Source organism: Homo sapiens, chromosome 7 (assembly GCF_000001405.40).
Source record: "Homo sapiens chromosome 7, GRCh38.p14 Primary Assembly".
NCBI lineage: Eukaryota > Metazoa > Chordata > Mammalia > Primates > Hominidae > Homo > Homo sapiens.
The window spans coordinates 101893468-101915635 of NC_000007.14; the positions used below are offsets into that span (position 1 = coordinate 101893468).

Genomic DNA, 22168 nt, shown 5'->3' on the forward strand with positions numbered 1-22168 from the left:
CTGTCGGGCTGATTTGCCTGGTAAGAAGCGCGTTTGGGGCACGGAGGGTCACCTTGCCCCCTGCGAGCGTTCTTTCATCATTTGAGCAGCCAAGCATCCCTTTTGGGCCAAGTTTGCCAAAGACTCTAACGTAGAGAAGTGGACAGACCCAGTTGCATGCTGATGTTAGGGGCAGAGAGAAAGAAGGAAAGATCCTTGCCTAGCTTAAGCCCTTGTGCTTCTTCCCCACATTTATTTGACTTCCCAAATTGGATTGGCTGTTGTGATTGAAAAGATTGTCAGCACTATGTAAATGAGAATGAGAAGTAAAAGTGCATCTCATGCAGATAATTTCTATGTAGATAATTTGCCATAAAAATTTATATTGCAGTCCTTAAAACCTTCGGAGATTTAGTCTGTCTAGGGAAAGGTGATTTATACGGCATTAAAACACTTTTTATGTCCCAGTCCTTTAGATTTAATGTTTATTGCCTATAAAAATGAAATCTTCTTGTGGATATTTAAAAGTTTTGGTACTGTGTGAAATATATATTCAAGTTAGAAATGCTTTGGAGATGTTGTAAATAAGTGGCAAATCTCTTGCTCCAAAGTCCACTGTGTTGTCTGGGCCCGCATCTTGGCTTTGCACGCCTGAAAAGCTGCCTCGGGTACCGGTGTCTGATCATCACCATAGTGGGTCGCCAAGTAGGAGAATGTCTTATGTAGGGATTTGGTGGTTTTTCAAAAAACTTAAATTAGCTAACAAGGATGGGACTATTATAATTCCTCAGAAAGTTATGCAAGGTCTGACCAGAATTTCATTCCAATCTGCAGAAAGACTGAATTATGGTGCAGTTTTTTTGGTTTTTTGTTTGTTTGTTTTTTGAGACGGAGTCTCGCTCTGTCGCCCAGGCTGGAGTGCAGCGGCACGATCTCGGCTCACTGCAAGCTCCGCCTCCTGGGTTCACGCTATTCTGCCTCAGCCTCCCAAGACGCTGGGATTACAGGCGCCCACCACCACACTTGGATAATTTTTTGTATTTTTAGTAGAGATGGGATTTCGCCGTGTTGGCCAGGCTGGTCTCAAACTCCTGACCTCAGGTGATCCACCCGCCTCGGCCTCCCAAAGTGCTGGGATTACAGGCGTGAGCCCCTGCGCCCGGCCTATGGCGCAGGTTTTAAAGAGTGGAAGTGCTTTGACAATGGAATGCCCAGTACAAAGCAGTTTTTAGGCTTTTGCAGCCACTCAGATTCATAACAGCACGCTTCAATTCTGGTCTTAAATAAAACTCTCATGGAGTAAATAAATCATATGGTGGGGACAGCACTGCTGTGGAGGAGGGTACTGTTTAAGCATTTTGGGGGTTCCTGAAAGATGTTTCTCAAAGTGAGCGCTGGAGAGGAGTACCTGGTTTGATTGTTGAACTAAAGTGTGGTTTCTGTAACCCTAGGGAGTTCTTCCCTAGGTATGATTGAGCTCCCTGAGTGCTGGGATGGTGACCTCCCCAGCCTGTCTCCAAGTCTGAGTACTGGTCGGCTTCCTAGACTCCTTAAAACGCTGGGTATTTTATTTAATTAATTTATTTATTTTTGAGATGGAGTCTTGCTGTGTCGCCCAGGCTGGAGTGCAGTGGTGCGATCTTGGCTCACTGCAACCTCTGCCTCCTGGGTTCAAGCAGTTCTCCCGTCTCAGCCTCCTGAGTAGCTGGGATTACAGGCATGCACCACCACGCCTGGCTAATTTTTGTATTTTTAGTAGAGACGGGGTTTCGCCATTTTGGCCAGGCTGGTCTTGAACTCCTGACCTCAAACACTGGGTATTTTGGAAATCATGTGGGAAGTGCTTTTCCTAGAGTTTTGTAGCTCCTCAAAAAGGCAGAACTAATCAACCAGGCTTCCCCATTGTAGCCACAGTTGGATCCCAATGGTAAGGGCCATTGGGAAACCAATGGTCTGGGTGAGTCTGGCCTGGGACCCTGGCATGGGGAAGAGACTGGACTTGAAGGCTTTGGATGGGCAGCTTGGTCTGGACAGTATTGGAAATAAAGGAACTTGAGACTTTGAAATTGCTGTGATGGGGGTGTTCTCACCTGTCCATAGGGGTGGGATGTCAGTAAGCTTTGCCGGTGTCTGTCCCATAGATAGACTCAGCTCTGCATTGCAGCCCCAAAAGGAGCCTGCATTCTTAAAAGAATTTTAGGGGAAGAAAGATTTAAGAGAGCACCTGAAGTCCTGAATCCCTTCAGAAGGAATTCATGGCTGCCTGTAGTCAGCTGCCAGTCCAACCTTGCCCTCCAAAAGAAGTCACAGAGATTGAGTTTTCAGCGAGGCAGGGAGAAGTTGTCACATTTGCCTAATTCTTGTAGAGGTGAGAGTGGGAGTAAACTGGAAGGGGGCGGATTATTGGTGATTTGGGGGCCACGTTTCCTTGTATCACCTGTAAAGTTTTTTTTTTGTTTTTGTTTTTTTTTTTTTTTTTTGGAGACAGGGTCTTACTCTGTCATGCAGGCTGGAGTGCAGCGGCACAATCACGGCTAATTGCGGCCTCAACCTCCCCAGACTCCCAAGTAGCTGGGACTATAGGCATGCACCACTGCACTTGGCGTATTTATTTATTTATTTATTATTTTTTCGAAGAGACAGGGTCTCCTTATGTTGCCCAGGCTGTTCTCAAACTCCTGAAGCAATCCGCCCACCTCAGCCTCCCAAAGTGCTGGGATTACAGGTGTGAGCCACCATGCCTGGCTCACCCATAAAATTAAAATGAAAAGAGCAGACCACAGCCAGCAGTCTTCCGACCTCCAGCTCTTGCAGGTCGTGGGCAGCCTTGCCCCAGGTGCAGCAGGTAGGCCAGGAAGCAGGTGTGGGAACAGAGCAACAGCAGGCACCGTGGGGACATGCACAGTAAGCGTCGAATCGGTGTGCGTTTGCAGAAACGTGAATGGGTGAATGAAGGGGTGTATGAAGGTATACACAGGAACGCCACAGTCAGCTTTGTGTAAAGTAGACCAGTGAACAGATTGCTGGTATTGCTTCTGACAGCTCTGCTCCTCAGGGGAAAATGGTGAACTCACTTTAGAACTCGCCTTTGTCAGCTCCAACTAGACTCTGGAAGGAACACAAATGCTCAGACTTTCCCATGACAGACTGTGAAGCAAAGCCAGTTACACAGCTACCGTCACTAATATTTTTGGTATAAAGCAGTTGCTAAAATTAATTCCAGTCTGAAACTTGATGAATTCTCAGTCATGGAATTAACAGGTCTTAAATGGGAAAAATAAAAAATTAGCTTGATTAAAAATAAATGTTTGTGCTGAAATGTGGAGCCTGTCTGTCCCTAACAAACTAAATATGAAGTTTTTCATCTTAGAGGATTTGTTTGCCTTTGAGTATTCATAGGGAAAGTGCACGTTTGTACCAGAAATTTAGAGACGCACTCCCAGTAAGTTCTTACGAGCAGTCAGTATTATCCTTTTTGTATAAGGCAAGCAGTCAGTCCCTATGAAGAGTAAGATACAAGCCTGGCTCAGCAGTGGCCCCCCTGAGCCTATCTGATGTGCAGAAAAGTCACGCACACACAACTGTCTTGAAGGGCAGCCTCCTTTCAGCCAGCACCCATTTACTCCCTCTTATTAGGCCTTCCTCTGAATTTATATCAAGCAAACTATTTAGGACGCATCTGCGAAGCAGGAAGTGTGTTTCATTTTGTTTTTAATGAGGTTTCAAACTCTCTCTTCCCATCTCTGTCCCTGGATGACAGCGCAGAGTTTTACGTCATTTGCTATTAGACATCTTGTGGCTTGACATCCTCGAAGGCTCAGCCACCCCTGGGTGTGTTTGGTTAATACAGCAAGTGAAGCCTGGGCAACATATCGAGGCCTCATTTCTACAGAAATTTTTAAAAAGTAGCTGGGCATGGTGGCATGCACCTGTCGTGTCAGCTACTTGAAAGGCTGAGGTGGAAGGATTGCTTGAGCCCAGGAGTTCAAGCCCGCAGTGAGCTATGATCGTGCCACTGTACTCCAGCCTGAGTGAAGGGCGAGATGTTGTCTCTTAAAAAAAAAAAATAATAATAATAAAATAAAGAAAAGAAAAAAGTAGAGGTTCTGTGCTTAGTTAGAAGATATCTAACAACACAATTGGTTAGACTTTCATAATTATTTCTGCTGATGTAAGTATCACAGCGCAGGTCATGGGCAACAGTTTACTGTTTTCACACCCAGCTTCAATGTTAAATGAACCCCAGACTATAGCGTGACCAGTCTGATATTATCATCCCCAAATCTTTATAGTTTCAGCTCTTGGGATGGATGACTGAATAACCATTTTTTTTCCAGTGTGGTAGTCTTAGGGTTTTGCTTATTGGTGTGTGTGTTTCAAGAGGAACCTCTGTTCCTTGGACTTGATGTGAGTGGCAAGTCATGTAAAAAGCTGGATTTTATCAATAGTTTTTGTCTAAAAACCAAAACCAAAAAATTCTTCCCCTGCAGTACCAGTGCTTGAAATAAACCACCCTCCTACCCCCACCCAGCTTGCCTGCGTGGATCCAGTAGCACCCCCGGTACCCCGGTGGGCCTTTTTGGCAGCCCCGAGGGGTCAGGGATCTAGGGGGAAGAGTCACCGCAGGGAGCGCAGATGTACTTGGAGTGGGGAATGGTTGGGGGGGACCCATTCCCCTGCTTTAAACCGCAAATGTCTTTTGATATCTAGTAAAATTGGCAAGCAGAATGATTGAAAACATGTGAGAGGTAACTGGATCTAAGTCTCAAGTAGTACATATTTGAGAAGTTTTCCCCAATGTAAAAGTCACTCTTTAAGAGCCTTAAACTAATAAAAACAAGGAAATTCCATGTTACGGCTGCCACTCGGCCTTTTCATTTTTATTCCAGAAGTCAGATCTGACAGGTCAGCAGCTCACTGGCTCTGGGCTCCCCGTGTTTAAAGCAGTGGGGACGAGGAGAAGAACTGGCAGCCGCCGGGACGGGGAAGTCTCCAATGCCATTCAGTGCCAGGCTCGTAATTCCCTCTTAGTTTATCCTATTTTCTCTTCTTGGGGCGGCTTCCTGTATGTACTTTATTCACTGAAGCTGCTTCAGGATTCCTTCAGAGACTATTCTTGTTTCTTTCCATTTCTGTGTCTTTTTTTTTTTTTTTTTTTTTTTGAGACAGAGTCTTGCCCTGTGGCCTGGGCTGGAGTGCAGCGGCGCGACCTTGGCTCACTGCAACCTCCGCCTCCCGGGTTCAAGTGATTCTCCTGCGTCAGCCTCCTGAGTAGCTGGGATTACAGGCACGCACCACCACACCTGGCTAATATTTATATTTTTAGTAGAGACAGGGTTTTGCCATGTTGGCCAGGCCAGTCTCGAACTCCTGACCACAGGTGATCTGCCTGCTTCGGCCCCCCACAGTGCTGGGATTACAAAGCATAAGCCACCGCACCCGGCTAATTTCCTTTATAGTTACACTAGCTTGGAAGAATAACATACTGAGTGGCGTGGAAGGCGTTGGTGCACATAGGTGCAGCATCCCAGAGCCCCGTCCACTGGCGGCTATTTGTGCATGGCTGCCTGTGGCTTCTTATCTGTGATGGAACCTCGTGGGCAGAGAAGTGGCTGGAGAGCATCACCAAGGCTGCCTGGTCCAAGTTGCTTCCTGTTGCTGCATGGGCAGTGTTCTGGGGTCCAGACCCTGGGTGGTAGTGATAAGATGGTGATGGGGTGGAGTGGGTCCTTATAGATCCCACATTACTGAGCGGCCTTTTGCCCTTCAAACCAGATCACAATCCCCTCCCTGCCAGTTGGTCCTCAAGAAATCACAGGAGGCTGGGCGCAGTGGCTCACGCCTGTAATCCCAGCACTTTGGGAGGCCAAAGCAGGTGGATCACTTGAGGTCAGGAGTTCGAGACCAGCCTGGTCAACATGGCAAAACCCGGTCTCTACTAAAAATACAAAAAAAATTAGCCAGGTGTGGTGGTGCACTCTTGTGATCCCAGCTACTCGGGAGGCTGAGACAGGAGAATCTCTTGAACCCAGGAGGCAGAGGTTGCAGTGAGTCAAGATTGGATTGTGCCACTGCACTCCAGTCTGAGTGATTCTGTCTCAAAAAAATAAAAAAATAAAGAAGTCACAGGAGGCCCAGCATACAGAGAACATCAGGTATAGAGAGATGTCCTTCCTGGGCCAAAACAGGTGGTGTCATTTTGCTGAGTTTGATAGAGAAAAAGTCCTGATGTCTGTGTACATAAGAACTCACGTCTAGAGTTCGAGAAAAACCGGTGATGAGAACTTGAACTTGGAGGAGTCACAGGGGGATCAGGAAAGCTTGGTAATTGGCATGAATTTCCTACCTCCAGGGGCCTGGCACAGAGACCTAGGATGAAGAGGGGGCCATCGAGCATGGTGTGAACTTGGAGAGTGTGGGGAGCTGCCCCAGCCGAGGGCACTGGATGGGAATTCATGCCAGAACCCCATCACATAGCGGCAGGAGCTGTAATTGTGCTTCTTAATTGTGTATCTTCATTTAGTGCGAGTTTAGGTGGTTAGCAATAGCTCTTTAGCTAGCTTTACAGAGTCTAAGTTAAAGAGCCCCTCAGCTATCTTGTAGAAAGCGCCCTGGACAGGATGGGGTGATGCTGACAGCTGGAGTCACTGTTCCAGCGCCCAGAATGGGGAGACTAGCAGCACTTCTGGGCAGCCCATGAAGCAGCCTCTTCCCTCTGCCGGTGTCCCTCATGTCCAGCAGAGCTAGAAGTGAAACTCACTGAGGATTGACGCGGCCCCTTTAAAATCGCATCTCCGCTCTTGGCACCAGGAGCTGTCATGTAGTGTAACCTGTTGGTGCCCAGAACCCAGGTTTCCTGGTGGCAGCCAGCGGTACCGGTGCCAGGAGGCAGCGAAGGAATCACTTGCGACGCCCGCTCTCTCTGCCATACGAGTGTCGTTCTGCGGGGCCATCTGGCTGGCAGCAGCTCTCAGCCAATGGCAGGATGTTGTAAACCTCACTCGCTGAATGCGGCACCGAAAATCTTGAAAATTAACTGCAAAAATAAAATCAAAGCTGGCTCCGAGATGGTATTTCTTGGCCTGGCATAAGCTCTCCGGATGAACTTGCTCTGCCTTGTTGATAGATGCCTCTTACTAGTTTGGTTTTTTCCCAGGAGCCAGTTGGCATCTTTTAACTTTTCCTTGTAAAATCCAGGCAGAAACATTTTGAGAGCTTTCTGGAGTTTTTATTTGCTAATTAAAATGTGAGAAGGGAACACAGCCACAGGTAGAGGTCTAGTGCAAGCCACAGCTGTGATTCAGAAGAAGAAAAAAAAAAGCCAAACCTGACAGTTTCAAAATGAAGTTATTAGCACTTCACCTATAACTGTGATAGCTTTTAACTTGCAGGATCCTTCTCTTAGGCACCACCTCCCATCCGAACCCCAGAGCATATGGGAAAAGGAGCTAATGTGTGTAAGTTGCAGGATACTTAATCACTGAAGAATCTAACAATGATAACTACTATCTCTCTGGAACTTTTTTTTAACTTAGAAGAGTATGTCTTGTTCTGTTTATATATCACATAGTTTTCCAACGACCCTGGGAGGTGAGGTAGGTGGTATATTTTACCAATGGGAAAATCGATGCTCAGGAAGTCTTGGTGACTTGCTCAAGTTCCCATAACAAGAAGCTGCTGAATCCAGGATGGAACCTGGTCTACCCCAAATGCCCCTACTGCTTCCTAGGGCCCAGTAATGCCCCTGGGTAGGGCGGGCCCAGCTCTGGAAGAAACAGGGCTATACAAAAAATCACCCAATATTGGGTCACCAGCCTTCTTCTACTTGCAAAATAATTAAGCAAAATCTGTTTTTATTTGTTTTTGAGACGGAGTCTTGCTTTGTCGCCCAGGTTAGAGTGCAGTGGTGTGAACTTGGTTCACTGCAACCTCCGCCCCTAGGGTTCTAGCGATTCTCCTGCCTCAGCCTCCCGAGTAACTGGGATTACAGACTTGCACCACCACGCCCGGCTATTTTTTTGTATTTTTAATAGAGACAGGGTTTTGCCATGTTGGCCAGGCTGGTCTCGAACTCCTGACCTCAGGTGATCCACCTGCCTCGGCCTCCCAAAGTGCGGGGGTTACAGGTGTGAGCCACTGTGCCTGGCCACAAAATCTATTTTAATTCTGCAAGTTATAAGCAGCCAGTGGCCCACCAGGCCCAGCTGTACGTTCCCAGGGACCCCCCAAAGCGTATATGTCCCGGGCACACACACACTAGGTGGTTTGTTTTGTTCCCCAGCAGCCCGTGTCTGCCCGGGCAGATGTTAGTGGCTGAGAAACCCCAACAGGGAGTGAGCCACAGGCCCGCGGGTGGCTTCCCTGCCAGTGTTCTCCTCGCGAAGGGGAAGGGAGCCCTTGCCAGAATGGCTGGTGCCCTAACAAATTGATTCCTGCCAAACAATAGAAATAAATATTTTCAGCAGACAGAAATGTTGGCTCTGAAAGCATTCAAATTAAAGGCTTATTTCTGAAACAAATACTTTAGGAGGAAAACATTTTTACCAGCGCAGATGAGATCAGAGCTATTCCTTTTGGCAGTGGCAGGACTATTTTGAGACTCAGCCACAACGGTTTCCCTGCCCCGTCTCGTTTTTCACTGATGACCTCGCCCCCTGTTTCATGGAGACAGGGAATTGCATTCAGCTAGAGGCATGGGGAAGAGATGGTGGCATGGTGTTCTGCAGAGAGCCTCAGTTGGACAGTCGGCCGAATCTGGATTCAAATCCAGGCCCTACCTCTCCTGCTATGATTTCGACAAAGCCGGTCAGTCATCTGATCATCAGCTTCCTCAGTCTGTGAAATGGGGCGGTACCTCCCTTGCAATGGTTAATAGCGTTATCCTCAGGACCTGGGGGTCATTGGAGGCCAGCACTGTCCCTAGAACTCTCTGTGTTGATTAAATGGTCTCTACCCGCCCCAGCAAATATAATTGCCACTAGCTACATGTAACTGTTGGGCCCTTGAAGTATGGCAGCTGGAATGGAGGGAACAAATTTTAAATTTAACTTAGATGAAATGTAATCCACATGTGGCCACTGGCTACCATTTTGGATAGTGCAGTTCCCATTCATCCCTCTCATTTCATTAGTTGGTCCCTGGAGCCAATTAATTGGTTGGAGGGTCAACCCACTACAAATCTCCCAAGTCTTTCTCTGTGCCGGATGCAGCTGTGCGGAGTTGGGACCTGTCTGTTGTCTTTGACATCCGTCTTCTGTCCTGCAGACGGAGCAGTGGGGCAGTGCCATCGAGCTGGGCAGAGGAATTAATATCTTAGCCATCAACTGCCCAAATCAACCTTCATGGGCATCTTTTAATTTTCTAAGAGATGGGGTCTTGCTGTGTTGTCCAGGCAGGACTCGTGGGCTCTTTCCGCCTCAGCCTCCCGAGTAGCTGGGACTACAGTTGTGCACCACCACACCCCTCTGATATTTCTTAATTTTAATGGCTGATGTTTCTTAATTTTAACAAGTTCCCATATGTCTCATGATGTATGCTAAGTATAAAAAGAATAATAGAAGGCATGAAGTCAAGGGGCCTGTTTCCCGGGCATTTGTTTCAGTGGTGAGTCACATTCATGCGAAGCCTCGGTTTCCTTATCTGTAAGACCAGATCAGCAAACCACCTGTGGCTGCCTCTCTCCCTGGTTGACCCCGAGGCCAAGAGGAGGGGCAGGGTCAGCAGCCGGCCAGACCTCAGTAGCCCCTCCCCATCCTGGTATGGGGGAACACAGGAGGTAGAAAACAAGTGACCTACACAAGGCGGGTGGTGGCGGGGGAGGTCCCACTTTAACAGGAGGCAAGATGGCCGGGAGAAAGCTATGGGGAACCCAGGCAAATGGAGATGAGCAGACCCCAAGAACCGTACCCTAGGGGGCTGGCTGGGTCGGGGGAATTAGGGTCCTTTGGGCTCCTTGCAGAGCCGAAGATTGTAGTGGGGAGCACTGCGTGTGCCTACAAGGCTGAGCCTGGCAGGCAGAATTATGTGTTGTTTTGAGATAACAGCCACAACAGAGCAGTAAAGAATACTGCTTATAAAACGGACATTTTTTTGTAGCTCAAAAATGGTCAAATATCAGTAATGTCATGTGGTTTGAGTAATCCATAAAGCAGAGCCCTTCTCGTTAGGGCTGAGAATTATCCTCCCCTCTCCCTGCCACAGAGCCGGCCACGTGGCCTGCCCCGGCACCTGCTCCGCCTTACATGTCATTATGCGTCTCCGAGACAGCGTCTCTCACATCTCACCGTTTAAATGAGCGTCTAGCAAGTATTCTATGGAGTGCAATGCTTGTTGGATACATCTGGCATTTTCATCTTCGCAGAGTGGGTTTGTGACGGGGTGAAAAACAAAAAAACAAATTCTTGATTCTTGATGGAAATCTCTCAGTCCTGAGAGATTTATAAAAAAGGCTTGTAGGAAAACTTTGTACGCGTAGCTTTTATACTCATAGACCAAATTATAATTTTTTATTCAATCTTATTTTCTGAATAGGTAACGTGTTCACTTGGTCTAAAATCAAAATTTTAGCCAGGTCCGGTCACTCGCACCTGTAATGGCAGTACTTTGGGAGGCTGAGGTGGGGGGCGGTCACTTGAGCTCAGGAGTAACATGGCAAAACCGTGTCTTTACAAAACACACACACACACACACACACACACACACACATTAGCTGGACATGGTGGCACGCGCCCGTAATCCCAGCTACTCAGATGGCTGAGGCGGGAGGATTGCTTGAGCCCAGGAGTTCGAGGCTGCAGTAAACTGTGATTGCATCACTGCACTCCAGCCTGGGTAACACAGTGAGACCCTGTCTCCAAAAAAATAAAATTTGTATGTTTATATACTGAGAAATTTTGTCTCCGCCTCTGTCCCTTTTTACCCCTACTGTCTACCCTAAGTCAGTACTGTACTTCTGTTCATTTTCTGGGGGTGTGCTGAACAGATTCAAGAGAATAGCATTTCCATGGAAAGGCCGCAGCTTGTAAGTTTCACTTGAATTTCCGTGATTGGGAGTTAATATCAAATGATCTCTCAGAATCAAGAAATACTGATACATATCAAATGTATAATAACATTTTGAGAATTTTTTTTTTTTTTTTTTCAGACAGAGTCTCACTCTGTTGCCCAGGCTGGAGTGTAGTGGTGTGATCTTGGCTCACTGCAACCTCTGCCTCCCGGGTTCAAGCGATTCTCCTGCCTCAGCCTCCCAAGTAGCTGAGATTGCAGGCGCCCACCACCACACCCAGCTAATTTTTGTATTTTTAGTAGAGATGGGGTTTCACCATGTTGGCCAGGCTGGTCTCAAAGTCCTGACCTCAGGTGATCCCCCTGCCTTGCCCTCCCAAAGTGCTGGGATTACAGGCGTGAGCCACTGCGCCTGGCCCCATTTTGAGAATTAAAGGAACATGGGCACGTAATCTTTATACGAGGTGGAGTCAGATTGAATAGCAAGAGGAAGAGAAACTGACATCCACGCTCATTGCACTGGGCGTTTTATGTGACTTAATCCTCATAGCAGCTCTATGAAGTATGTATCAGAGGGTGTCCCCATTTTACATTAAATCACTTGCCTGGATCACTCAGCTGGGGAGGGTGAGAGCCAGGTGACCTACCCAAGGCTGTGTCTCTGGGTGGGGGGCTCAGAACCTCTCTCCCTCGTTTTGTAGTAGCCAGACATTGTCTCGTATAAACTATGGCAACTGGAAGTGAACCAGGTCTTTTCCTGCCCTCTGATTTTGGTGGAAAATGTGACCTACCCAGGAAAAGCACTATGATTTTAGGAGTTTAGGTGCACAAAGCTGTTTTCCAAGCATGCTCATTCTTCTCCCAATTTGGGACTCATTGCTGCCTCTCTGCCCTCATCTGTGGGGCCAAGGGAGCTGGAGCGACAGCCACAGCAGACCGCTCTGCATCCCTGTATGCGTTGTGGGAAACAGCAGAGGAGGTGGCGTTGCGCCCATCTTACAGACTCCAGATTCTGTTCACCCGACAGGCAGTGGGAATCCGTGTTCACGCTGGTCCCTTGGATCAGAAATTCAGTACCCTTCCCTCCACACCATGCTGTAGACACCTCTTTCCTCTCCTAGACCCGGAACATCCTCTCTTCTTCAGGGTACTGGGGACCAAGATCCACCCTCGTGGTGAGAAAACCACACCATAAATAAACACAGCCACCATACGCCGTGAGATCTGGCCAAGAGGTTTCCTTCTGTTCATTCGGCCCTAATCTCCAAGATGGGAAGGCATTGCCAGCTGCCCTGTGTAGAGATTCCTGAACACGCAGTGTTTCTTATTAACCCGCCAGATAACCAGAAAATCAGTCTTTGGGCAAGCGCTTGCTTCTCCACGTGCCCAGTATTTTCTTTCTTTCTTTTTATTTTTTTAATGAGACAGGGTCTTGCTCTGTCGCCCAGGCTGGGCTCGAACTTCTGGCCTGAAGTGATCCTCCCACCTCAGCCTCCCAAATAGCTGGGACTACAGGTGTGCGCCACCATGCCCAGCTAACTTTTTTTTTTTTTTCTGGAGAGACAGGGTGTTACTATGTGGCCCAAGCTGGTCTCAAAGTACTGGGCTCAAGTGATCCCCCCACCTCGGCCTTCCAAAGTGTTGGGATTACAGGTGTGAGCCACTGTGGCCAGCTATTCTTTAATTTACTAGCGCTGACTACATGCCTGTGATGTCCCCAGGACCCTGCAAAGTTCTGGGAAATTCATAGTGAGCAAAACACAGTCCTTGCTGGAGTTCACAGCCCATGGGGAGACGGCACCAACCCTGTGCCCAGACTAGGGGAGCTGCCACGCAGCCACTCACTGAGCTGGGCACACAGGTTCCCATCTCTTATGAGGTGAGGCAGGAGGAGCAGGGAGGGAGCTGGGGAAGTGGCATCAGAACATTTTTTGGAAGAGAGAAAGGAAAGGTTTCCAAGCAGAAGGAACAGCCTGTGGCGAGGTCCGAGGGGAAAGGAGGGGACCCTGTTCTCTGGGGACACTAGGGGAACGTCAGCATGCCAGGTCAGGGTTCTGGGGAGCCCTGGGTGGTCTTATCGATGGCCCCCAGGAAGCCACAGAAGGCATTTGAGCAGGGAACGCCAAGCTCACGGCGGGCTTTGGCAGGGCGCGCCCCGTGTCCTGGAGGACTGTGTCCTGGTCATCTTTCTAGGCCCCCACTGCATGCCCTTGAGGACTAGGAAGGGTGCCTCCTTCTCTGCATCAGGCTGACTCCTAGCAGCTGCCGTATCTCCAGCTTTCCTGCTTTCAACTATGCTTTTTGTCTCCTTTTCCTCATTGCGAGCCTAGGCCTGTATGGGGTGGTGGAGTGGGTGGGAGCTCACTGCTTAGGTGGGTGGGCAGTGTGGGTGGTGGTGGTTCCATGGGTCTCTCCCTCCCACTGTCCCATCTTTGCCACTCATCTGCTGCCCCCCACTCCCGGACCCCTTTTGGAGGTCAGTCTCACTCTGTGGAAACCCTGGCTTCCTGGTTCGAGATGCCCCCTCTGGCCCACGTGTCTGACATCACGTACCAGAACACTGTGGCCATCATTCAGGATTTTTTATGACACAGTAGTGAATCAAAGCCTGTCAGTGGGAAAGTGATGGGGAAGGATTAAGTGTCTGAGAACATTTGGGAAATATGAGGTTAGACCTGGTTCTCAAACTTATGAAATAAGTGAAAACATGAACGTTCACTTTGGGAATTCTGCAAGATTCTCCTTTAAATGGAGTCCATGAAGAGAACAAAATGAATTTTCTGCAGCGTTACGCAGGAGCACTTTTCTGGAAATGAGGTTTCCTAGGACTTTGTCAGCCCTTCAAAGCCTAGGTCTCCTTACTAGAGGGGAAGAAATGAGATTTTATTTATTTTTATTTTTATTTTTTATTTTTTGAGACCAGAGTCTCACTCTGTTTCCCAGGCTGGAGTGCAATGGCACAATCTCGGCTCATTGCAACCTCCGCCCCCAGGGTTCAAGCGATTCTCATGTCTCAGCCTCCCGAATAGCTGGGATTACAGGTGTACGTCACCACACCCGGCTAATTTTTGTATTTTTAGTAGAGACAGGGTTTCACCATGTTGGCCTGGCTGGTTTCGAACTTCTGACCTCAGGTGATCCACCTGCTCCAGCCTCCCAAAGTTCTGGGATTACAGGTGTGAGTCACCCACTGGCCACAAACTTATGAAATAAGCAAAAACATGAACTTTAACTTTAGGAATCTACAAGGTTCTCCTTTAAATGGAGCCCACGAAGAGAACAAATGAACTTTCTGCAAATGAGATGTCCTAAGACCTTGTCAGCCCTTCAAAGCCTAGGTCTCATTACTGGAGGGGAAAAAATAAGATTTTAAAATATCAATGTTTAGCCAGACTCAGTGGCTTACCCCTGTAACCCCAGCACTTTGAGGAGGCTGAGGTGGGAGGATCGCCTGAGCCCAGGAATTCGAGACCAGCCAGGACAACATAGCAAGACTTCCATCTATTAAAGAAAAAAAAAACCATCGTTTACTTTTAGGAGTAGGCATTACATTTACGTGCTTAAAATACCAAAGGTACCCAAGTGTAGATATGAAAGACTTTCCCACCCCCAAGTGAGTGCCCAGCCCCTTAATTTCCCTCCCTGGTATGGATACTACCAGTATCTTATGTTTGTAGAACCTTCTACAGAACCTTGTGTAGGTAGAAGCAGATTCTATGCATCTATGTGTATCTGTGTATTTGCAGTGACTAGATTGATTGCTGTTGATGGACATATTCTGGGGAGGTGTTTTTACACTTCCATTACTGAGCACAGGCTCACAGGATGGCACTTTCCCGCATGCACCACCATGCCTGGCTGATTTTTGTATTTTTAGTAGAGACAGGGTTTCGCCATATTGGCCAGGCTGGTCTGGAACTCCTGACCTCAGGTGATTTGCTCGCCTCGGCCTCCCAAAGTGCTGGGATTACGGGCGTGAACCACTGCGCCCAGCCTGTTTTTTGTTTGTTTGTTTGTTTGTTTGTTTGTTTGTTTTTGAATAGAGACAGAGTTTCACTGTGTTGGCCAGGCTGGTTTTGAACTCCTGACCTCAGGTGATCCACCCACCTCAGCCTTCCAAAGTGCTGGGATTACAGGTGTGAGCCACCATGCCTGGCCTCAATTTCTCCCTTTTCTAAGCCCCCCACCTCTGTTTTTGTCCCATGGTCTGGTCCTGTCGGCCTTGTTGCACCTGGCAGTCAGGGTTGACTTATGATTTACTTGAACCATCCCTGGAGCCCCTGGCCTGGTGGGGGATGCTGGTGGCAGAATGAATTCGGGTCTGAGGTCAAGCATGTGTCTGTGAGAGTACACAAAATGAACTGTGATGTAGCGTTTACTGTGCCACAAACTTGAAATGCATCATCTTGATTATGTCCAGAGAAAGGAAGTCATTTGACCACAGCCACACAGGTTACAATGGGGATGCGGCCTGGAGTCCAGGTGTGAGCTACCACACCCAGCCCACATACACTTTAAAGATGAGCAAATCCAGGCTGTAATCCCAGCACTTAGGGAGGCTGAGGTGGGAGGATCACTTGAGGCCAGGAGTCCAGTCAGGTTTGGGAGGCCGAGACAAGAGGATCGCTTGAGCCCAGGAGTCCAGTTTAGGTTTGGTAGGCTGAGGCGGGAGGATCGCTTGAGGCCAGGAGTCCAGTTCAGGTTTGGGAGGCCGAGGCGGGAGGATCTCTTGAGGCCAGGAGTCCAGTTCAGGTTTGGGAGGCCGAGGCGGGAGGATCTCTTGAGGCCAGGAGTCCAGTTCAGGTTTGGGAGGCCGAGGCGGGAGGATCTCTTGAGGCCAGGAGTCCAGTTCAGGTTTGGGAGGCCGAGGTGGGAAAATTGCTTGAGGCCAGGACTCCAGTTTAGACACCACTGTTTGAAGCGTCTTGGGATGTTTTCAGTAGGGGACTTGGAGAAGTGATGGAAAGAGGCTGGTGGGTGGGGCTTAGGCCCACCACCCCTTTCTAGCCAGAGAACCCTCCATTCATCGAAATGATTCTGTTGTTGGAAATGAAACAAAAAATAAAATGGTCTTAGGACCTTCCTGTGCAGGAACCATGGCCGACCTTTCCCTTTTTGTACAAGTGATCTATTTTTTTCACTAGCAAAACCATTTAAGATTTCTATATAGGATGTGCTGTTTGATTAGTTTGACAGATAATCCCCCAAGAAACATCAGATGAACTCACTCTTTGGATTAAAGTTTGAGATAATAAAACAAGAATACTTGTGTTGCTGATGTGGCCAGCCCAAGTATGTTTTTCCCACCAGCCCAGAGGTTCTGGGGGCAGGAGGCATCCTTTGCAGGCCTAGAAGGACCCACCCTGTGGGAGCCTGGCCCTGTGCATCTGCAGAGAGCACTTGCTGGAAATCTCAGTGGGAAATGGTGGGGATGCCTCCCATACCCCCACTTTAAAACAAACAACTGACAATTACACTTTTTTTTTTGAGACAGAGTCTCGCTCTGCTGCCCAGGCTGAAGTGCGGTGGCACCATCTCAGCTCACTGCAACCTCCGCCTCCCGAGTTCAAGCGATTCTCCTGCCTCAGCCTCTCAAGTAGCTGGGATTACAGATGCACACCACCATGCCCAGCTAATTTTTTGTATTTTTAGTAGAGATGGGGTTTCACCATGATGGCCAAGCTGGTTTCGAACTCCTGACAATTATACTTTTTGAGACAGGGTCTCCCTCTGTCACCCAGGCTGGAGCACAGTGGCTTGATTATGACTCACTGCAGCCTTGACCTCCTGGGCTCAAACGATCCTCCCGCCTTAGCCCCCCAAGTAGCTGGAACCACAGGCACCCACCACCGTGTCCAGCTAATTTTTGTATTTTTTGTAGAGATGGGGTTTTGCCATGTTGGCAGGCTGGTCTCAAACTCCTGGGCTCAAGCGATCTGCCTGCCTAGACCTCCCAAAGTGCTAGAATTACAGGCATCATCCACTGTTCCCGGCCCACATACACTTTAAAGGTGAACAAATCCAAGCCAGGCATGGTGGCTTATGCCTGTAATTCCGCACTTTGGCAGGCCAAGGCGGGCAGATCGCTTGAGGCCAGGAGTTCAAGACTAGTCTGGCCAACAAGGCGAAACCCCCTCTCTACTAAAAACATAAAAATTAGCTGGGCATAGTGGCTCATGCCTGTAATCCCAGCTTCTCAGGAGGCTGGGTCTTGAACCCTGGAGGTGAAGGTTAACCAGTGAGCCGAGATCACACCAGCGCACCCCAGCCTGGGCGACCGAGCAAGACTGTCTCAAAAAAAAAAAAAAAAGATGGGCAAATCCAAATGGATCTCTGGTGTTATTTAAATACTTATTTGGGAAAAAAATTTTCCCACTATTTCTGTTAAGCAGACAGCTGGTTACATGGTAGTTTTTTAATTTTGTTTTTAATAACATCTGAAATGCCTGGCAGAAAGTCTGGAGTTGGGGGCAGAGAGAAACTTAAAATGTTAGGAGCTTTGCCCTTTGAGGAGCTGTCAGAATTGGAGAAAAAACATCCCAGAAATTGTAATCAGTGAGGAAAACAGGATTCCAGCTATCCACAGCACCCCAGCTGTACACCAGCGTCACGGGATGAGGGATGCCTGTGTGCACGTAGGCCTTGGTTTCTGAGCTGAGACAGCAGCAGCCAGGCCGACTTGGTGATAGGCTTGGCCTGCCCCTGCAGTGGACTGCCTGGGCCTGGGCCTGGGCCTTGGCCTTGGTCTCAGCCCTGTGGTGGATGATCTGAGCCTTGGCTTTGGCCCTCCAGTGGATGGCCTGAGCCTTGGCCTTGGCCTTGGTCCTGCCGTGGATGACCTGAGCCTTGGTCTTGGCCTTGGTCCTGCGGTGGACGACCTGAGCCCTGGCCTTGGCCTTGGCCCTCCAGTGGATGACCTGAACCTTGGCCTTGGCCTTGGCCTTGGCCCTGCCGTGGATGACCTGAGCCTTGGTCTTGGCCTTGGTCCTGCAGTAGACAACCTGAGCCTTGGCAATTGGCCTTGGCCCTCCAGTGGATGACCTGAGCCGTGGCCTTGGCCTTGGTTCTGCTGTGGACGACCTGAGCCTTGGCCTTGACCTTGGCCCTCCAGTGGATGACCTGAGCCTTGGCGTTGACCTTGGCCCGCCAGTGGATGACCTGAGCCTTGGCGTTGACCTTGGCCCGCCAGTGGATGACCTGAGCCTTGGCCTTGACCTCTGAAGCTCTTCTGTGCAAGGGTGGGGCTCCTGTTGGTGACACCCACTTGCTGAGTCTACACCTGGGAAGCTCTTGGTCAGCTCGGCCCATTGACTTGAGAGAGGAATAGTTGCCGTCCAGCGAGTGCTGGGGGTGTAAGGTGGACCGGGCCACACGGCTGCCAAGGGGCCGGCTGGGTGGGACTGAAACCTGACCCATGTGGGTCCTCATTGCCTCCTGACATCAGTCATCCTGTGATCTCTTAGAAAGATAAAAACACATTTTCTGCGTTCTGGTGCCTCTCCTTGCCAGACATTTTCTCAGTAAAGTTTCTGTCTCAGCCTCGTTGGAAGTGCCAGGTTCTGAGCCCATCAGTTTGCTGCTAGCCTGCCAGCTTCCCATGACCTGGGACCTGGGACCAGGGGCCCGCAGGTGTTTCTAGCTGGAGAGGAGTTCTAGATAGTTCTGAGCGGATACCCTCCTCTGTCTTCCTCGGGAGAGTTCTGGCTTGGTTTGGTGGTGTTTTCTGTGACCAGCAGTGGCCACCGCCACCACCAACCCCTCTTCCCCCTCCCCTCTTCCTCCCCCTCCCCCCTCCCTCCTCCTCCTCTATCTCCATACGCCCTGAGACTGGCCAGTGGGCAGCATATTGTGCAAGAAACAGCTGTTGTTTTGACAAAGGACATAACTCGCCTCACTTCTTGCATCACCAGACCCACGAGGCTCTGGATTCCAGGCCTCTGCCCCTGCAGGTGGACACACAGACCGTAACGCAGAGGCTCACGTGTCCCACACTATGCATTACCATTTGTGTACGCACTCGTTCACATTTAGCAGGATTGTAAAAATTAATAGTTAGTGCAGTTCTTCCAGCTAGATAATGCATCCAAATGGCAAGACAGTCCAAAGATACACACTATGGAGTAAGTCCCTCTCCCCACCGGCCCCTCTGGAGAGAGCCAGGCACGGTCACAAGTTTCTTCTGTATCCCTCTGGAGATAATCACAGCCTATGCGAGCATATGGATGGATATTCTTTTAAACATTGTGTTGCGGTTTGCTTTTTGGCTTGGATGTATCTGATGATTATCATATCCCTTACAATACACCGTGTTTTTTTACATTACAGGAAAATCTGTGAGGGGCTAAACCGACAGGGTATTGCTGGGCATGGAGGAGGTTGGGTCCAGGTTTTTTGCTCTTTGTGACTTTTTAATGCCTTTCAGATGTGACGACTCTCCATACGCCTTCTCACACGTGACCCGTGACTCATGGGCCGAGGCCTCTGCATTTGGGACCCCCACCTCCACCTCCCCAAGATGCATTTCATTCCCTTGTTAATGTGTCATTGTAGTTGACGCTTTGAGGATAGGCAGGCTTGGTAGATAATAAAACAGTATTTGGCTTATGTTTAATCGCTGTCTCCTCCCACAGCCCGAGAACGCCTTAGCGTCCTTCAGAAAGGATTTGGTGGTACTGGTTTTTATGTGTGTGTGTGTTGTTTTTTAAAAAAATTTTCTCCAAGGGACCTGGTCAAAGATTTCAAGCCTTAAATCTGATCAACCCAATCTGGGGCGGCGGCAGCTCAGTCTCTCCTCCTCGCTGTGCCAATCTGTTTCTGTGGTGGCGGGTGGCGGCTCGGTGTTAAATTTGGAGACCCCCGTGGGTTTCCCATGCCGACCTGCATATGTCTGCGGGCACGGGGAAGGGAGGGCCGCAGACCCCCGTTGAGTCCCCGACTGCCAGCAGCAAGTTGCCGCAGGCGCACTGGCTCTGCAGCCCCGGGATCAAGGTGGGTTCACCTTGCACCGGGCCACCTGTTTCAGTTTCCTCCTCCACCAGGCAGGCTCTCTGACAGATCAGCCCAGGGAGGGGCAGGTGGGGACCGAGGGGGACGGAGGGGGCCCACAGACCCCCGGCTCATCTGGCATCTTCCCCAGCGTTTCCCACACTTGACCCACTAGATGAGAAGTTGGGGGTCGGGGCTGGGACCCCACCTTCATACCTCCAGCGCCTGCCAACTCAAAGACATCGGTAGATGCCCACCGATTGGGTAACCGCCCCCAGCACCCCCACCCTGCTAGGCTTCCATGCAGTGGGGGAAGTAGGGACCCCCGGCCAAAAGCAGTCATGTTCTTTTTGTTTTTCTCCTAAGTTTTCTGCGTCTGTGTGCGATTGGAACGAAACATCAACTCTTTTTTTTTCTTTTTTGTCATATTTCAATATTGGCTTTCTTCCCCGCCTTCTTTCGAAGGCTCCTTTTATAACTTCGGCTGCTGCTGCTTAAATATAGATGTCAAAGCCCTCCTCCCTCCAGATTGTTTATATTTTTGAAGAGCCTTCTGCTTCGCTGTGACTGCTCCTCTCTTATCTGTATCCCCCGTTCCACCACATTGGTTTCGGTTGCTCTTTTTTTTTTTTCCCTGCCTTCCCTTAACTGGGATGTGTTTCAAATGTGGTCTATCAAAATGTTCAGTGTTTCCCTTTTTTCTGCAATAGCTTTGACATCTGTTCTTGAATTCTAGCCCACGTTATTCCTTAGGACTTGTTTGCCCAAGATGTGCCTGAATGCCAGAAATACTAAGGGGAGAAGAGTGTGGTGTGGTGGTATCTTCCCCTCATTGCCTGGTTTGTTGTTTTATTGTCGTTGTTGTTTTTTTTTCTTTCCTCCCCTGCTTTTTAAAGTGTCTACGATTCCTTCCTTCTTCCTTCCTTCCTTCCTTCCCTCCCTCCCTCCCTCCCTCCCTCTTTCCCTCCCTCCCTCCCTCTTTCCCTCCCTCCCTCCGTCCTTCCCTCCCTCCGTCCTTCCCTCCTTCCTTCCTTCCTTCCCTTCTTCCTTCCTTCCTTCCTTTCTTCTTTCTTTCTTTTTTCCCTTGGGACACCTCACTCATGCCCAGGCTGGAGTGCAGTGGCGTGATCTCGGCTCACTGCAACCTCTGCCTCCCCGGTTCAAGCGATTCTCTTGCCTCAGCCTCCTGAGTAGCTGGGATTACAGGAGCCCACCACCATGCCTGGCTAATTTTTGTATTTTTAGTACAGACAGGGTTTCTCCATGTTGGCCAGGCTGGTCTCAAACTCCTGACCTCGGGTGATCCACCCACCTCGGCCTCCCAAAGTGCTGGGATTACAGGCGTGAGCCACCTCGCCCGGCCTGTCCATGATTTGTAAGTTGACAGCATGATTTCATCCCATCCGGCATGGCCCACCCCGTAGTAGTACCAAGGAAGCATTTCCCAGCAAGAACTTGTAACGTGTAGGTTTGCTGGTTAACTTCCGCCAAGGAGGAAAGCCTGTGGGACTTGGTGAGCTGGGTGGTGGGGGGTGGAGAAGGAGAGGCTCTAGTGTGCTTCTTGGAGGCGTGGGGATAAATCTTCAGCTTTGATTTTTCTCGCCGTTCAGCTCTGCTTGGACTCAGGGTGATGGTCCCAACCGTGAGAAGCCAGCTAGAGCAGCCACCTTGGATCCCAGCAGAACGGGCCGCTGTGTGTCTTTAGTTGCCAAAGCGACTCGGCAGGAAAACAGGCCTTTTGGTGGCGACAGCAGTGTGTCCTTGGGCGCCTGCTGTCAGCCTGGAACACCATTCTGGGGCCATCTGCTGCAGGCTTGTTGGAAACAGATCCTCTTGGCAGCTCTTCCCAGAATTTCTGAGGCCAGGGCACAGGTTCTCTGGCGCGTTGATTATCGGTTTGTTGCGGGGAGCAGAGCCCAGAGTCCTCAGCCCCCTAGCGGGTCCCTCATGGGGAACCCACTCCTGGTGGTCCTCAGCGTTCCCGCGCAAGTAATGTGATTTGAGAATAACTGCCAATGGTGCCTCATTTCTGAAAAGTGGTTGGAAATAATTATTCTTGGAATTTACCTTTTAAAGGTCCCTCTTGAAAACTAATCATAGGTTAATGGTCTCGAACATGATGCTTGGCCTAGAGTGAGCTCACCATAAACATTTGTTGAATGAATACAAACCAAGTATTACTCTCAGAGATCCCAGGCCC

General features: G+C 49.4%; 1 protein-coding gene across 25 annotated transcripts in view, besides 3 other annotated features; it reads left to right on the plus strand.

Annotated features, from left to right (window-relative positions):
* The window catches only part of CUX1 (cut like homeobox 1), a 467952-nt gene that overhangs the window by 77461 nt on the left and 368323 nt on the right, over positions 1-22168 (plus strand). The gene's annotated exons all lie outside the window — the stretch shown is intronic.
* Positions 2345-2845: an enhancer, noted in NCBI's record as "H3K4me1 hESC enhancer chr7:101539092-101539592 (GRCh37/hg19 assembly coordinates)". NCBI's record gives its function as "activates a minimal SCP1, AML or CMV promoter by ChIP-STARR-seq in primed H9 embryonic stem cells {active_cell/tissue: H9 hESC(primed)}" and the evidence as "EXISTENCE:reporter gene assay evidence [ECO:0000049][PMID:30033119]".
* Positions 2846-3346: an enhancer, noted in NCBI's record as "H3K4me1 hESC enhancer chr7:101539593-101540093 (GRCh37/hg19 assembly coordinates)". NCBI's record gives its function as "activates a minimal SCP1, AML or CMV promoter by ChIP-STARR-seq in primed H9 embryonic stem cells {active_cell/tissue: H9 hESC(primed)}" and the evidence as "EXISTENCE:reporter gene assay evidence [ECO:0000049][PMID:30033119]".
* Positions 6874-7373: an enhancer, noted in NCBI's record as "H3K4me1 hESC enhancer chr7:101543621-101544120 (GRCh37/hg19 assembly coordinates)". NCBI's record gives its function as "activates a minimal SCP1, AML or CMV promoter by ChIP-STARR-seq in naive H9 embryonic stem cells {active_cell/tissue: H9 hESC(naive)}" and the evidence as "EXISTENCE:reporter gene assay evidence [ECO:0000049][PMID:30033119]".